The 16,094-nt window shown below is 50.7% G+C and overlaps 1 long non-coding RNA gene across 1 annotated transcript, besides 1 other annotated feature; it reads left to right on the plus strand.

Moving 5' to 3' along the window:
* Window positions 1–1,851: 1,851 nt before the first annotated feature.
* LOC105372980 (uncharacterized) lies at window positions 1,852–7,494 on the plus strand. The gene is made up of 3 exons (XR_938123.4): window positions 1,852–2,011; window positions 5,438–5,605; window positions 6,807–7,494. It is a non-coding gene; the product is annotated as an uncharacterized LOC105372980 (long non-coding RNA).
* Window positions 3,394–4,057: an enhancer, noted in NCBI's record as "H3K4me1 hESC enhancer chr22:27833795-27834458 (GRCh37/hg19 assembly coordinates)". NCBI's record gives its function as "activates a minimal SCP1, AML or CMV promoter by ChIP-STARR-seq in primed H9 embryonic stem cells {active_cell/tissue: H9 hESC(primed)}" and the evidence as "EXISTENCE:reporter gene assay evidence [ECO:0000049][PMID:30033119]".
* Window positions 7,495–16,094: the final 8,600 nt, after the last annotated feature.

The following is a 16,094-nucleotide window of genomic DNA, read 5'->3' on the forward strand; positions in this document are numbered from 1 at the left end:
CACCCTTTCAGAGCTCACAGCCACAGTCCTTCTGTAGGACACAGAAACACAGGCCGGACAGTGCGGTAACAGAAGACCCAGTCATTGCTATGCCTGTTTCACACATGCGGAAAAGGAGCTCAGAGCTCAGGTGGAGACTTGGTTCCCCACCCTGGACTTCCTTTTCCACCAACTCACCGCCCTCCTCACAGTCAGGACCTTCCTAGACTGGATTCTCAAGTTCTAAAGGCTGGGTCAGCCTTTGCTTGTTCCTGTGGGAGATGCAGAGGCCTGGCTGGTCACAGCAAGCCATGGGTATCCACCAGTCACCCACCCATGGCCTTGAAGGTTTCAAGAGGGGCTCCCCAGACAGGGGCCAAAGTGCAGTCTCCCCGGATACCAGGGGGACTCTGGATGCTGTGGAGTCTTGGGATGAGTGTATCACTTACAGTGGGGTGTAGACACACAGGCGAGCAATGCACGTACAGGTGCAGACACACACACACATGCATGCACACATGCACACAATCATGTTGGCCTTGGAAGCAGCTAGTCTGTAGCCACTAGACATCAGGGCCAAGACCAAAGCAAACAGAGAAATCAAATTTCTCTCAAAATCCCTTGCAATGTGTTCCTGTGGGGCTGAGAAATCCTTCCATTTCATGGGTTGTGAAAGATGCCGACTCCGAGACAAGATAACGGGATTTATTTCGCAAGCCCAGTGCGTTCCTGCAGGGCCGCCCCTTCCCACTCTTCTCAAATTTTTCACCCTCCTTGGCATCCCTGGAGAAGCCTCAGAGACCATCAAGTCCCCGGCGAGCTCATTTAACAGACAGGGAGACTGAGGCCGGGGTAGGAGGTGAGGGAGACAGAACTTGCCCAAGGTCACCTGGGGCCAGGAAGTGAATCAAACTCAGGCCTGTCTGAGGCCAGGCCGGGGATTCCGACCTCCTCCTGTTAGGATTCCGGAAAATCATCTCAGGATCTTTTTCGGTTTTCTTTTTTTTCTGGCCCTTACTTGCTCTTCTCTGTTTGTCTCTCTCCATTTAAAAAAATTCTCTCCTTAATCCTTCCTCTCCTTGCCCCTACTCCTAAGACTCTCTCTCTGTCTCTTTCTCAGGGGCTCACTCTCTCTTTCTTCATTTCTCTACCTCCTTTTCCCTCCCACACCATCTCCATCATTCTCTCTCCCTTACCTCAATTGTCTCCTTGTCCTCCCTTTTGCTCCTAAAGCCCTTCCCCTCTCTTCTGCACCTTTCTTGCAGGCCTACTCATGCCCTTCACACACTCACCTAATTTGGGGGCTGCCCTCTGCCTCCCTGCCTCCACCAGCATCGCCTTTGCCAGATCCCCTACCTTTAGCTCCAAAGCACATGCCACCTAGAGGGTCCTAAACCAGCTAGGAAGCCCCCACCCGGGACCACCAGGCCCCAACCCCGGCTGTATTTGCAGCCACAGAGGAGCCCCCCACCCAGAGTGAGAACAGACACCTGATGGAAGCGGGGCTGGGGCCGAGCAGCTGTGAGCCCTGATTAAAGCACGCACTTCTTCCCGGCTGCCTGGTTTGCATTACATCCGGCCGGGCGGGCTCCAGGCTGACAGCTGGACGCACTTTTCCAGGGCGCAAGGAAGGCAGTCAGACCGTGTGTGTGCACACATGCGTGGGCTCCGTCCCGGACAGGCCCGTAATGGCTTTCACATGGAGAATGCAGCAAACTTCTCCAACCTCAAGCACCGATTTTCCTGTCAAGAGATGTTGGATTCCAAAAAAAAAAAAAAAAAAAAAATTATAATCACAAAGAAAAGGGCTTTGGAATTTGCACAAAAGGGTCAGACCCTGTGAAGTCAGATTCTGAAATGGAACCAGAATCTGGAGACAATGGAAGGAGGAAGAAAGAGGGAGGGAGAAAGACCCTAGTGTCTGTCCTCAGCGGCTGCGGCCAGGGCTGGAGAGGTGTTCATGGCCCAGGAAGGACAGAAAAGAAACCACTGCCTGAGGGTCTGGCTCAGCTCTGCAATCCCTCCTCCCCAGGTAGGACAGACAGCCCAGGGGTATGAGGCCAGGTTCCAGCATTTGACTGTGGGTTTGAATCCAAACTCCTTTGCTGACTGCAGTGATAGAACTTACCAAGTATCAGCTTCCCCCTCTGTTAAACGGGGCTCCTGTGCCTCATTCCTGGGGCTTCAGAGAAATTCGCTGAGCTGAGACTTGCACACCCGTCAGCTCATGGCTTGAACCTCTCCTAGCTGTCGTGAGCTTGTCCTCCCTGGAGAAGAGTGCTGGAGCAGAAGGCAACAAACCCCGATCCATTCTGGCTTTGCCTGTTGGGTTATCTCAGGCTCAGTTTGCCCATCTGCAAAATGCGCACACAGGACACTGAGCCCTCCTGCGTCCTGCTAGTTTCCTGACCTGCCCTAGAGCCTGACTCACAGAGGGACTCACGGGACAGGGCACCACTGCTCCTCCCTGTTTCATGGCCTTTGCCCATGCACACCCCCTGCCTGGAACACTCTTCCTCTGACCCAAAGGCCCCTTGGGAGATGACCCCTCCTGGAAAAGGCCTCTCTGACCCCAGCAGATAGGATTTCACTCGTGTAGCCCTGCACATCCTTTTTATGACACCTATTACCTCTAGGAAGCCTCATTCAATATCTTCCTGGGGATTTTTGGACCCTAGGCTCCGTGACAGGCCCGAACCTGCCATGGTCCCCTTTGCCCCTGCTGAAGCCCGCAGCACCCAGCACTACGATTGCATGTCTAATCACAGGAAATCCACTTTGGGAGGCTGAGACAGGAGGATCCCTCAAGGCCAAGAGTTCAAGACCAGCCTGGGCAACATAGTGAAACCCCGTCTCTACATAAATAAAAATAAAAAATAAAAACAAATTAGCCAGGTGTGGTGGCACATGCCTGTAGTCCTGGCTACTACGGAGGCTGAGGTGGGAGGATCACTTGAGCCCAGGAGGTTGAGGCTTCAGTGAGCTACGATTGTACTACTGCACTCCAGTTGGGGTGACAGAGTCAGGTCCTGTCTCTAATGAATAATAATAATAAACTATTTATTTTTATTATATAAATGTATAGTAACTATTATTATTATAAGATATTAAATACTTATAGAACACCAGTCATGCGTGAGGCCCTGCAGTCACAGCAGTGAATGAGTGAATGAATGAATGAATGAATGGTGATAAATGAAAGCACGAACTTATAGGACACTTATTGGTGTACGTCTGAGCTGAGTCCTCTACATGAATCATCTTATTTAATTCCCACATCAACACCAGAAGGCAGGTGCTGTTATTATCCCCACTTCACAGATGAGGAAGCTGAGGCCCAGAGAAGTTAGGCAACTTGTAAAAGGCCACACAGCCAGGGCAGTGGAGACAAAATCCAATCCCAGGCAGTCTGGTTCCAGAGCTTATGGGCCCAGCCACCAGACTAGACTGGAGCCCACAGGAGGGGATCATGAGGGTTGTTTGAAGACATGTTTCCTTCTGCCCGCCTGGGACAGCAGGTACCTGGGAGTAAGTGCCGGGGCTGGCTCATTTCTGCAAGGAGCAGCCTGGGATGCAGAACAGAGAGGCAGGGGCTGGCCAGCCTGAGAAGTGGCTCCAGATCCTCCATGGGACAGTTTGCGCCCATTTGACCACTGTGAGATGTGGAATCAGACATGACTCTGAATCTCCCCTTCCCTGCCCTTCACCTAGAAAGGGACCGCTGACGTTCTGTGTGACCTCTGGCAGAACACCTACCCCCAGAATCTTGGTGTGCTCATCTGGGCAATGGGAATGATAAAATCTGCCCTGCAAACACACACCACACACATCCACCCAGCTAGGGGCTGGGCATGGCCAGGAGCTGAACCCTGGGGACTGTTTCAGGGGCAGCCAGGGCAGCAGCTGGGGAAGGACTCGAGCCTCCCCAGCCCAGCTGGCTTCTGGCGGGGGTCCAGCCTGGCCACAGCCACCAGTCCTCCAGGCTTAATATCCTTGGCGGCAAGGCTAGAATAAGCTGTCTTTCAAGAGGGGAGCTTTATTTATACGCCGATGCCAGTCGCGCTCCTGCTATTAGAAATCTCATCGGCTCCTTTGATTTAGGGCTTACCACAAGCTGCCAATCGCGGCCGCCTCCTGGCCCAGCCCTGCAGCTCGGCCAGCCTTGTTCCGGCTCACAGCAGCAGAAACGAACATTATTTAATTTCCCGCCAGCGGGCAGTGAAAGCCGGAGCTCCCCCTCCCGCTGGACGTATTTATTTAATCCTTTTTGGAAATAGTGTCTGGGGATGGATCTGAAGGCCAGCCCTGGGGACTCTGCTAATCCCCCAGGCCTGGGCAGGCGGGGCCTTGGGGTGGAGACTGAGTGAGGCCTCTTGGGAGGATTCTAGAGGAACCTCAACCTGGGAGCCCAGGGCGATCTGCCACTCACTGACCCCTGAGGTGTCTGCTTGGGAGGTGTCACCAGCAGACTTCGAGATAAGCACTGCAGGGCTAGTTTATCTGGGAGGGGGATCCCAGGATGTATCAACAGGGGATGGGGACTTGAGGCAAAGAGGGGAGGTGGTCAAGTCTGGCTGCCATTAAGCAGCCAGTTTTTGCTGTGGGTGACTGGGGCTCAGTTGTGCTGAGGACCTTTTGCAAGAACACTCACCTCAGAGTCATCCGCCCAAGGAGCAAGGAAACCAGGGTATTTATACTCCAGCTCCCATCTGTCATTGGTGGAGGGCTGCTTCCCCCAGGAAGGGGCATTTATTCCCTACACTCCTCTTCCTTCTACACTGGGGCCAAGCAGGCGCCTGCAGACATCTCCCCACCTTGCAGGCGAGTGGTGAGTGACAGGAGGATATGGGCAGAGCACCAACCACTTGAAGCTATTTATCCTCCTTGTCACCTGTCAACTCTTTCTCTTTCTTTAGCCTCTGCCCAAAAGACACCTCCTCCAGGAAGCCCTCCTTGACCACCCCAGGAAAAATCTTATCCATTACCATCTTGTCATTCAGATATTTCCTTCCGAACATATAGCATGTGCCAGGATTATCCATTTACTTACTTGTTTGTGGGTTTACTGCCTATCACTCCCACTAGACTGGACGCCTCCTGAAGCAGGGGGTCATGTGTATCTTAATCTGCATTGCAGCCCTTGCACACAGTAGGCACTCAACAACTATTTTTGGAATGGGGGTGGGGACTCCTGATTTATGTAATTCAGGCTCTGCGTCGCTTACCACAGTGCTTGGCAGTAGGCTAGGCTCCTTACATGTGATGATGGTTCCTTTAACACTCAGCCAAGCTTTCAAGGATGGGATCAGCACACCCATTTGACAGATTGGAAAGGTGAATGTACCGAGAAGATGCTGCATCAAACTCAGCTGTGGGTTTGCATAGCACCAAATCTTACTCCGCTCTCCCTGCAGCCCCAGAGAGTGGATGGAAAGGTTTTCTGGGTTTCATTTCACAGCTGTGAGAATTGGGGCCCTCTGGGATACGCCCCCATCAGGCGGGGAGACAACGGGGATCCAGGCCACATAGAGTCTATGATGTCTTAAGCACTGGAGGGTATCAGTAGAGAGAAGTATGAGAAGTATGAGAAAGTGCTGAAGAAATCACGGGATGCTTCCTGGAGAAGGTGACTCTTCTTTTCCTATTATAAATATTAAAATGAGAAAGAAAATCAGTCTCTTTGGGAAAGCAGGAAATTCAAAATATTTGATGACCCAGAAGCCCTGGCAGCACAGAGCCTAGAGACTTGTTTGCACAAAACACTCCCAAAGCAGAAATGTATTATATGTAATATAAAGTATAATACGAGGTTTTATATGTCATCATTTTAATACGTCATGATGCCAAATTGTCCAAGCTAAAAGGCTAAATACAGAAAAGTTAAAGATGAAAGGGGAAGAGGAAGACACTGAGGTCAAGGTGGCAAAAGTAGACAAAGTGCAGGAGGGAGGAGGCATTTTCCCTGGGCAATTGATTCAGCACCGAGGCGCTTCTGGAGCCTTTGTCTATGTGACGTGGTTGTGGCAGCAGCCCGTTGAGTGTTAATTGTCCATGAGTTCTAATAGGTGTAATATTCTCGAGTGTTACATGTGCATTAATTAAGTAACACTGCATTTAGCCCCAAATCATGCAAAAGGCTTGTGTGGTGTTTGCAGAGGCATAAATATCCTCACAGTTAGTGAGTTGCTGGCACTGTTTTCTCTCTGCCCACAGCAGTCCAAAAACATAGATTGAGAGAAATGGGAAGTGGTGGAAACAGGAAGGAGTGCGAAGGGTGAGGAAAGCCTCTGCCACCCTCCAGACCAGGAGGAAAGAAGAATTAAAGATGAGATACATACATAGTATAGCCAGTGGGCTTTGAAGTCAGACAGATGCAAGTTTGAATCCCAGCACAGTCACTGACTTACTGTGTGATCTTGGACAAGTGGCTTGGCTTCTCTGAGCCTCAGAAAGCAAGAATCATAATAGGACCCTCCCCTTAAAAAGTGGTTGTGAGCAGTCAGTGGGATGAGGCATGGAAGGAGCTTAGTGCAAAGTGCTTTATAATGTATGGGATGATGGGGGTCGCGGTGGGAGTGGTAATTTAGGGGTCCTGTGACAGACCTGGATTTCGCTAAATTGGGATGAGAGCCCAGGTGAGGGCTGGTGTAGGGGATACTTTGGGATTATGGGAAGCAAGAACCGCATTCTTTTCTGGGCAGTACTGAGCTCCCCATATGGGAAGGAAGCACCTAACCAGGAGAGGTAGCTTGGGGTGCGAAGAGGATAGAATTGTCCCAGGATGACAGTACAGATAGGCAGTCTAATCCTTGTTCTGCCTCCTACAGGACATAGCTTTGGCTTGACCCTCTGCTGCTGTGAGCTGCACTCTGTGAAATGGGATCATGTTCTCAACCAGCCTCCCTGACATGAGTTGATTGCACCAAAACCCTATGGATAAAAGAGTTGTTGCCATAGAAAAAGAGACAAGCGCGATTTGCAGAGCAAGCTGAAGCCCCAGAGATCTTCCCTGTCCCCACAGACCCCTGCTGTGCCCATTTGGTCAGCCCTGCCTCGAGCCCAGTGGGATCCCCCCGCTACGCCCCATCCACATTTCAAATGACAGCATTGTCAGGCTTTGGCTATCTTCCCCTTCTGCAAATGGGAAACTGAGGCTGCAAGAAGGGAAGTGACTTGCTCAAAGACACCTTGCAATTTGGTGGCAGCCTGGAGCTCAGACCCCCTGACTCCCATGCAGGGCCTACCACTCCATCCCCCTCAAAACCCACAAAGATTCCGTTCTGTTCTGTCCTCAGCCAACGCGGTGGCCCACCCACCTTGGGCGACCAGAGCCAAGAGGTTGTTTGTCTGTTTTAGACACTCTCGTCGCTGTGTTTCTTCTTTATCTTTTAAGGGCTCGAGACTCAGGAAAACCAACTCAACGTGCATAATTTGGCAATTATTTCTTGTGTTCATCCTCACGGCCGTGGCTGCATACAGATATTGGAATTTGCATAAAACAATCTTGCTACCAGTCCCACGGCTTCCTGGGAAGAAGACGCCCAGGTGGGGGTGGGGAAGGTTTCAGGTCGCGTCCACCTGTTCCCCCTCTGTCCCCGGCCACAAAGGGAAATAAAGGTAACACATGGTGTGGAGAAGGGTGCTCAGCCCTCGGCACCCCTGCCCAAGGGAGAGAGAAGGGGTGGGACCCACTGGGGCCTCTGTGGCAGGATAAATGCCCCCTGGCAGCCTGGAACCCTTCCGATTAGTATTCAGCAAGCATCTCGCTCAGAAAGGATTAATGGAGTCTGATGTTTAATATCCTGGAGAACAATTAATTTGCCCACAGTTTTGTCATGGTTGAAAGTCAAATGCTGGAACAGATCGATGCTCGCATGGCGAGCTGGAGCCCAGAAACCCTGGGCAGGAGCAGAATTTTAATGTTCCCATCCTGGCCCCCCTTTCCCCCCCATTCCCAGCACACCCACTTTCTAATAGTTCTAAAAGCCACTTTATCCCTGCACAGTGCTTGCTGTCTTCACAAGAGTCCACTGGGAGCCTTCGAAGGCAAAATCCGGCCCCCACAAGACTTCCATTATGGGATTGAAGTTGGCCGGTCCTTCTTGGGGGTCTGACCTCCGTTTTATTCCAATTGTCCTCGCCAGCGCCCCAGCCCTACCCTCTTCCCCGGCAGGGCCGCTGATGTCTGGACATTGTCACCAAGACACTTGTTCTTGAAAAGACACCGGGGCGAAGAGGAACGTGGTGGGGTTGCAGTGGTGATTTGTTTATTTATTCGCTTGCCGGAGTTTTGCTGTCTGTTTACGCCTCACTGTTGGCTTGGCAAGGACACTGCAGTGTGGTGGTGGGCTTGGGAACCCAGAAATCAATAGGCTCACCAGGAACGTGGGCTTTGTTTAAAAATCATTCCCAGCTGGGCAGGATGGCGGAGGCGACTTTGGCAATTTGATCCTGGCTGGTGGTTTAAAGGCCACGGGTTGGAGATGACATGGGAAGACAGGGTGCCAGAGGGGAGGTGGCTTAGAGGCCATCACGGCTGACCCTCTCCCCTTCCATTTGGGGAGACCGAGTCCCAGAGAGGCCAAGGTCGTGGTCCAAGTTCACAAGGCTAGAACCCGAGTCTCCTGACACCGGCTGAGCATTTAATGCTTCCCTGGCTACCATTTAAACTCCAGCTCCTCAAAGCGTGGCCGGGACCAGCAGCATCAGTTTCACCTGGAGCTAATTAAAATGCAGAGTCTTAGGCCAGCTTCACAGGCACTCGACCTGCAAAGACACACACAAGCAGCCCCGAGTGGGAAGGGCCCCACCCTTGGCTTCATGCTCCGCTGTTGCCATCTTGAAATTCCTTCAAACAATTTTTTAACAAGGGGCCCGCATTGTCATTTTGCACTGGGCCCTGCAAATTGAGTGCCCAGATCTGTTGAATCCAAATCTGTATTTTGACAGGAGCTCCAAGTGATTCCCAGGGCCCATTGAAGTTTGGGAAGCGACTGATTTAAAATCCCACATACCATCCCCCAACGAGGAGGGCCAGCCAGGGTTGTCATCATCCAGAAATCACAATGGAACCAACAGAGGCCTCCCACCCTCCCTCCTCAAGGAGAGAGCCAGCTGGCTCTGAGACCCACCCCAGGGGGCAGGCGGGGTCATGATTGTCCTTGCCCTCAGTCTTAGGGCAGGCCAGAGATTCTGCGGCTTTGGGAAATTTCAAGTTTGCCTCCCGATGAGTTTTATTTAGGGGTTTCACGCTGGAGAAGACTTTAGAAGTGAAAAGGCCGTCACTCTATGGCACCCTAACCCCCAGAATGTCACTCTCACCCCCAGCATTTTCTAACTTAGCCCTGTCCTCCATCTCTAATGACCACCCCCCCATGCGGAGATACCCCTGGGGACCCCACCTTGAGGCCCGGCATCCCCAGGAACCCCCCAAAGCAGACTTTATCTCATTCCCTCATTGTAACAAGGCAAATCCCCAATGCAAATTTCACTATCCCCATCTCTCGGGTGAAAAATAGAGGCTCAGAGCAGTAAAGGAACGGACCAAAGATCTGACCCCAGACGTCCTGAGTCTCCACAGTGAAGCCTGAGGTGACAGGTGCATCACCATCCCAGGGTGAAGGTGACTCTGCCTGTGAAAAGGTGCTTGTAGGCAGCGGGACGTGTCCTGCCCCTCATACTCCTCTCCTCCAACTCGGGGAGCTTGAGGGGAGGGTATCTTGGGCTCCTTTCCTTAGAAGCCCCCTGCATAGGGCAGACCACCCACAGGAGGAGAAACTGCTGGCATCACCCCTCCCTTGTCCCTGTTGGGCGCTACTGTTGGGGAGGGAGGATTGAAAAAGGAGATAGAGGAGGAGGAAGCGGAGTGGGGAGAGGAAGGAGGAAAGAGGAAGAGGAAGCCGGGCGCAGTGGCTCACTCCTGTAATCCCAACACTTTGGGAGGCCAAGGAAGGAAGATCACTTGAGGCCAGGAGTTTGGGACCAGCCTGGGCAACATAGTGAGACCCCATCTCTACTAAAAATAAAAAAATTAGCCAGATGTGGCAGCACGTGCCTGTGATCACAACTACTTGGAAGGTTGAGGCCAAAGCATCACTTGAGCCTAGGAATTTGAGGTTATAGCAAGCTATAAACCCACCACTGCACTCCAGCCTGGGCAACAGAGGAGACCCCAGCTTTATTTAAAAAAAAAAAAAGAAGCACTTTGGGAGGCCGAGGTGGGCAGATCACGAGGTCAGGAGATCGAGACCATCCTGGCTAACACGGTGAAACCCCGTCTCTACTAAAAATAGAAAAAATTAGCTGGGTGTGGTGGCGGGTGCCTGTAGTCCCAGCTACTCGGGAGGCTGAGGCAGAAGAATAGCGTGAACCCGGGAGGCAGAGCTTGCAGTGAGAGGAGATCACGCCAGTGCACTCCAGCCTGGGCAACAGAGCGAGACTCCATCTCAAAAAAAAAAAAAAAAAAAAAAGAAAAGAAAAAGAAAGAAGAAGAAGAAAAGGAAGGAAGAACGGGAAGAGAGGAGAAAGAAAGTGGAGTGTGATTTATAAACTTTGTCCCTTTATTCCTCTTTCTCCATCCTCACAGAATCTATGAGTTATTCAAATCCCACTCCACGAAGGAGGAAACTAAGGTTCACCTGGATGGAAATTGGCACAGCAGGGACTTGACCTCACACCTGGCTGTCCCCACCAGCTAAAATATGGTGTTTAACCCCCTCATTGGAGGGTTTTCTGATTATGCTGCTTTTTCATTTTAATAGTAACATCTCGGCCAGGTGAGGTGGTTCAGGCCTATAATCCCAGCACTTTGGGAGGCCGAGGTGGGTGGATCACAAGGTCAAGAAATCGAGACCATCCTGGCCAACATGGTGAAACCCTGTCTCTACTAAGAATAAAAAAAATTGGCTGGGTGTCGCAGCAGGTGCCTGTAGTCTCAGCTACTTCGGAGGCTGAGAATTGCTTAAACCTGGGAGGCGGAGGTTGCAGTGAGCCGAGATCATGCCACTGTACTCCAGCCTGGTGACAGAGTGAGACTCTGTCTCAAACTAATAATAATAATAATAATAATAATAATAATAATAATAATAACATCTCCTACTTCTTCAGTGTGGATCCTGGGTAGAGCCCCGCTAAGATCATCACATTAACCATGAGGTAGGCATTATAATGAGACCCATTTTACAGATAGGGACACTGTGGAGCCCAGAGGGAAAATCCTTTGTGAAAGCCCTGATGGGAGGCAGTGTTGTCTTTCTGGGCTGCTATCTGGGTTCTTTGAGGGCCAGAGAAACTATGGGAGATGATCTAGCCTGTCTGACTCCTTCTTACAGTTGAGGAGAATAAGGCCCAGAGAGGGTGAGTGACCTGCCCAGGTTACACAGCCAGTCATTTGGAACCTCCTGCTTGGCCTACAGTAGCCAGCCCCAAGGTAACCCTAACATTTGTGGGTGTTGGGGTGGGAGGCACTAAAGGGCAGGGTCAGTGGGACCTCCTCAGCCCGGGGGATGGATCCAGAAGGTTCCTGCAAGCCCTCATGCCTACACAGGTGCTTCCCCAGCCCACGCCCGACCTTGGGCTGAACCCTGCAGCTGAGGGTGTCCCTCTCAGCCCCACGGGGTCAGCCAAGGAGGCCCTGGGTGTCCGGGACCACAGCTGGAGCCTGCTCTTCGGACACCAAACATCTGGCTGCTGGTTTCCGGAGCTACAGACAGGCCATGGGGAGGGAGGCCCCTTGAGAACGCCTCTGTCTCATCTTCCCCAGGAGGCTCCAGGCCAGGATCTGCTTACACAGAAAGGAAGAAAATGTAAGTGAACACAGGAAAAACCGTACATGTGCTTTTCTGGTGGGGTCGACCCTGTCACTAGCGATGTGGCCTCAGTGCGGGGGCGAGGGGTCACCTCATCTCAGGGAGCCTCGGTTCCTTCTCTTGCAATATGGGGACCATAAGACCCTACCCACAGATTCAGAGTATGCTGAGCTGACAGAGATTAAGTGCTCAGTAAATGGTCATTGCCAATATTACCATTTTTACCTAGAAAGACTCCTTGCATGCACCCTACCACGCATGCTCCAAGCTCCACTTCTAGCACAGAGAGTCCAAGGTCAAGGGAAAACACTCTACTGGAGATGCAACCATGACAAGAGAGGCAGCATGGTGTGGGAAATGAAAGCACAAGGGCTTGAGCTCTGCTGATCCTGGGTTCAAATCATGTTTCTATCCGTCAAAATCTTATATCCTCGGGCAAATTCCCTACAGGACTGAGACTCGACTTTCTCATCTGTAAGATGGGGATGGTGCCTCCATCATAAGATTATCTGATAGCTGGGCTCGGGGTCATGCCTGTAATCCCAGCACTTTGGGAGGCCAAGGCAGGAGGATCACAGGAGCCCAGGAGTTCGACACCAGCCTGGGCAACATGGAGAAACCCCATCTCTACTAAAAATACAAAAATTATCCATGCTTCTAGTGGCAGGCGCCTGTAGTCCCAGCTACTCAGGAGGCTGAGTTGGGAGGATTGCTTGAGCTCTGGAGATTGAGGTTGCAGTGAGCCGAAATCAAGCCACTGCACTCCAGCTTGGGTGACAGAGTGTGACCCTGTCTCTAAATCAGTAAATATATATATAAATAAATAAAAGATTGCCTGATAAGCAAGGCACTGACTGTTAGAGTTCAGGGCTCTGGGTAAACAGTGAAGGTCATTATCATTACTATAATTTTTGTTATCACTGTTGTTTTATGTAAGTGCCAGGCTCTGCCCTGGGCTGACTGCTGGGATATAAAGGTGTCTCTGAGCTAGTCCTTGCCCTCTGATCAGGCTGTTCCAATGTAGTCTGGACTCAGTTTCCTCCACTGTAAAATAGGAAGAATGCTTTGGCCAAGGTCGGCATGCCTCAGCGCCTCCCTCTATGCCCTCTCCTGATACGGAAGAGGAGCCAAAGGTGGCCTCTTGGCAAAGGCCACATTCCCTGAGGAAGAAGGCAGGAGACAGAGGTGGGCGTGGTGGGGGAGGTCAGAGACACTATCCATCTTCCAGGCCTGCTCCACGTGCCTGCACGGTTATTAGCACCGTGAAGAGACGATAATGGTACTCATCAGTCTGGGAGCCACATCACTTTCCAGCTGTCTCCCCTGTGGCCCACCCAGATACCACGGATGTAAGGGAGGAATTAGGGACAAGGCAGGTGCTGTTCTTTACTGGCCCTGGGGAGCCTGGGACAGTCCAGGCCAGGACGAGGCATCCTCCACTGAGCCTGTCCGGGAGACACACTACGGCTTAGGAGAGAGTGTTCAGATCCTGGCTATGCTTCTCCTCTCTGTGTGGCCATTCTTCTCTGAGCCTCAGTCTCCTCATCGGTAAAATGGAGGCCCCAGTAAGGATTGGTGCAATAGCTCTGGTTGTGCCAGGCCCGTGGTCAGTGCTCAAGAAACAGGAGGTGGGTTTGAATTACGTGGATTTTCTTCCACCTCTGCAACCTCTGAGACAGCAAGACCAGCCCCTCCTCTTCTCCCCTCAGCCTACTCACCTTGAAGGTGACCAGGTTGATGACCTTTATGATGATCCACTTCATTTAATCAATAGTAAATATATTTTCTCTTCCTTGTGGTTTTCTTAATAACATTCTCTTTTCCCTAGCTTACTTTATTGTAAGAATGTATATATATAATCCAAAATATGTGTTATCCCACAGTTTATGCTCTCAGTAAGGGTTCTGGTCAACTTTAGGCTCTTGGTTGTTAAGCTTTCGGGAGTAAAAAGTTATATGCAGATTTGTGTCTGTGCACAGCTGGGGGCTCAGCACCCTTAACCCCTGCATTGTTTGGGGGTCAATTGTACTGATAATGCACCTCATCTGCAGACTGAGCAGGGTTTGAAAGAACACTAAATGTGCCCCATTAGCATGGAGCAGAAAGGAGCGATGGCGAGAGGGGATCCTCAAATCAGGACAGGTTCAGGCTCAAGTGCCAGCTCCGCCACTCGCCATAATTGTGGACTCCATTAACCTCTCTGGGTCTGCTTCCCTGTCTGTGAAATGAAAAGATCATCCCCGCCTTGTAGAATTTGGGGAACATACAGAAGAACAAGTTAGTATTAAATTAACATAAGAATCATCCTGGTATTCAGTAGGAGCTGGATGAATGTTTATTTTCATCCCTTCACGCTAGGGTCTGGCTTTTTATTCATTCTTAAAGAAACGTATCACCTTCTGTTGGATGGGGACAATGACTTTATTCACAGATAGCCACCTTTGATTGTGCCCATTTCACAGATGTTTCAGATGGTGCCAAAGCAGGGGAAATAGGTCAGGAGCTCCAGGCTTGGGAATCCCAGCCCTGCCATGAATTCGTTGGGTGACCTTGAGGACCAGAGATCCCCTCTGATCCTCAGTTTCCACATCTGTGAACTGAAGAGGTGGAGGTTGTCAGCCATGAGCATTTCCACGCAAGAGAAAAATCCTTCGTTCCCCCTTCATTTTACTCTGTGGCCATCCACTGAGTACCAGGCCCTGGGCCAGCCACTAGGAATCCTCAGATAAATTAGCCAGCAAGAGATTTGGGGGTGCCATTGGCAGCCCCCTTCTAGCCACTCTAAATGTGAAGGTGTCAGAAAATGCAGTTGAACCAAGGAAGGCCGTTACCCTGATAGTGGAGCCCCTCTGTAGACTCCACTGCTTCCAGACTCTCAACCCCTACATAACAAGGGCCTACCCCATTCAGTTCTTCAAGGAGCCAGCAAGGTCTTCTAAAGCCAATTTTCTGAGTCAGATACTTGCATGCTGTTTCTGAGAACATCTTGTGAGATGTGAGGCCTGCAGCCTTCCTTGTGAAGGATGCCATGCAGAGACCTGCTGTCCTGGAGTCTCAGAAATACAGAGGAGTGGGTCGCTCCCTGAAGATGGTGTGGCTGGCTGCCCAGGCATGGGAGGGGATGAAGAAGACTGAAACTAGCTAGCCCTGGTTTCTGATCCCAGATGTGGCAGAACAGATGGTTTGGATTGTGTGTCCTTGGAGGGACATACCTTCCTCCGCAGCCACACATGATCACACCTGGAAAGGCAAATAATGTGGATCTCATGCTCCAAGTTTGGTGATAGATTGGTAATGGCTACCAGGAACACTAGGTTGGGCGGATTTTAAAGTAGGATGTCCAAACACCCTGGTCTTCGGAGGGCCATCCAGTTTATGCCTGTTGTTCAGACATCATTATGAATCAAAATTATTTCCCCTTTTTAACTTTCAAAAGTGTCCTGGTTTGCATAGTAAATTACATGGTCACCCTATTTTGAGGCTGTGTCCAGCTTAGTGGGAATAATTCTGTGATCACTTAGCAATGTCTGCAGAGATCATAGAAAGACGAGTAGGAGGACCAATGTCATGCAGCTGCCTTCCTTAATCCCAGAATCAGAGCCCACTCTGGGAAACGTTGACACAGGTATCTATCCTCACAGGTAAATATTCTATCAGTCTGATTTCACTTCCTTAAAAGAGAGCCGTGGGAATGACACCATGAAAAAGAGAAAGAGAGAGGTGGGAAATAAGGTTTTTTAAAAATAAGACAACCTTAACTTATATTATCCATCTCAGGTTTAGAGAGGAAAATTCTAATTCAGGTCCCTTTTATAAGACTACCTAAATGAGAGTACCTTACATATCCCTGCAAGTGATCACTAAGTGGCATGGAATTTACAATCTAATGACGTTTCCTCCAGGTTGAGGATGTGTAGCTTCCCTCAAAAATATCAAAGAACTCCTGAGACCCCACTGGGATTTCCCTAGGTTGGGGGCTACCTGTCCTCTTCAGAGCCCTTGGAATTTTCCCATCTCCACAACCCAAAGACAGTACTCACACCCTGCACCCTTCCCTTCTCTGACTTCAACCTGATACTAGAGCTACTCCCTTTCCTACAGCAATCCTTGGCCTATACCTGTGCTAGAACCGTCTCTACCTGCCATGAAAATGCACCACCCAGATCTAATTAACAGCACTGACTCTTCCACCATGTTTGCACCAAGGCCAGGCTTCCCATGAGCTACTCTCAGACAGAGAATGAGTCTGATGGGTATACTGAGGTAGGCCCAGTTTTGCAAGAGACAGACTCCTCTGTTGTGTGACTT

The sequence above is a fragment of the Homo sapiens genome, chromosome 22 (assembly GCF_000001405.40).
Source record: "Homo sapiens chromosome 22, GRCh38.p14 Primary Assembly".
In the NCBI taxonomy this organism is placed as follows: domain Eukaryota; kingdom Metazoa; phylum Chordata; class Mammalia; order Primates; family Hominidae; genus Homo; species Homo sapiens.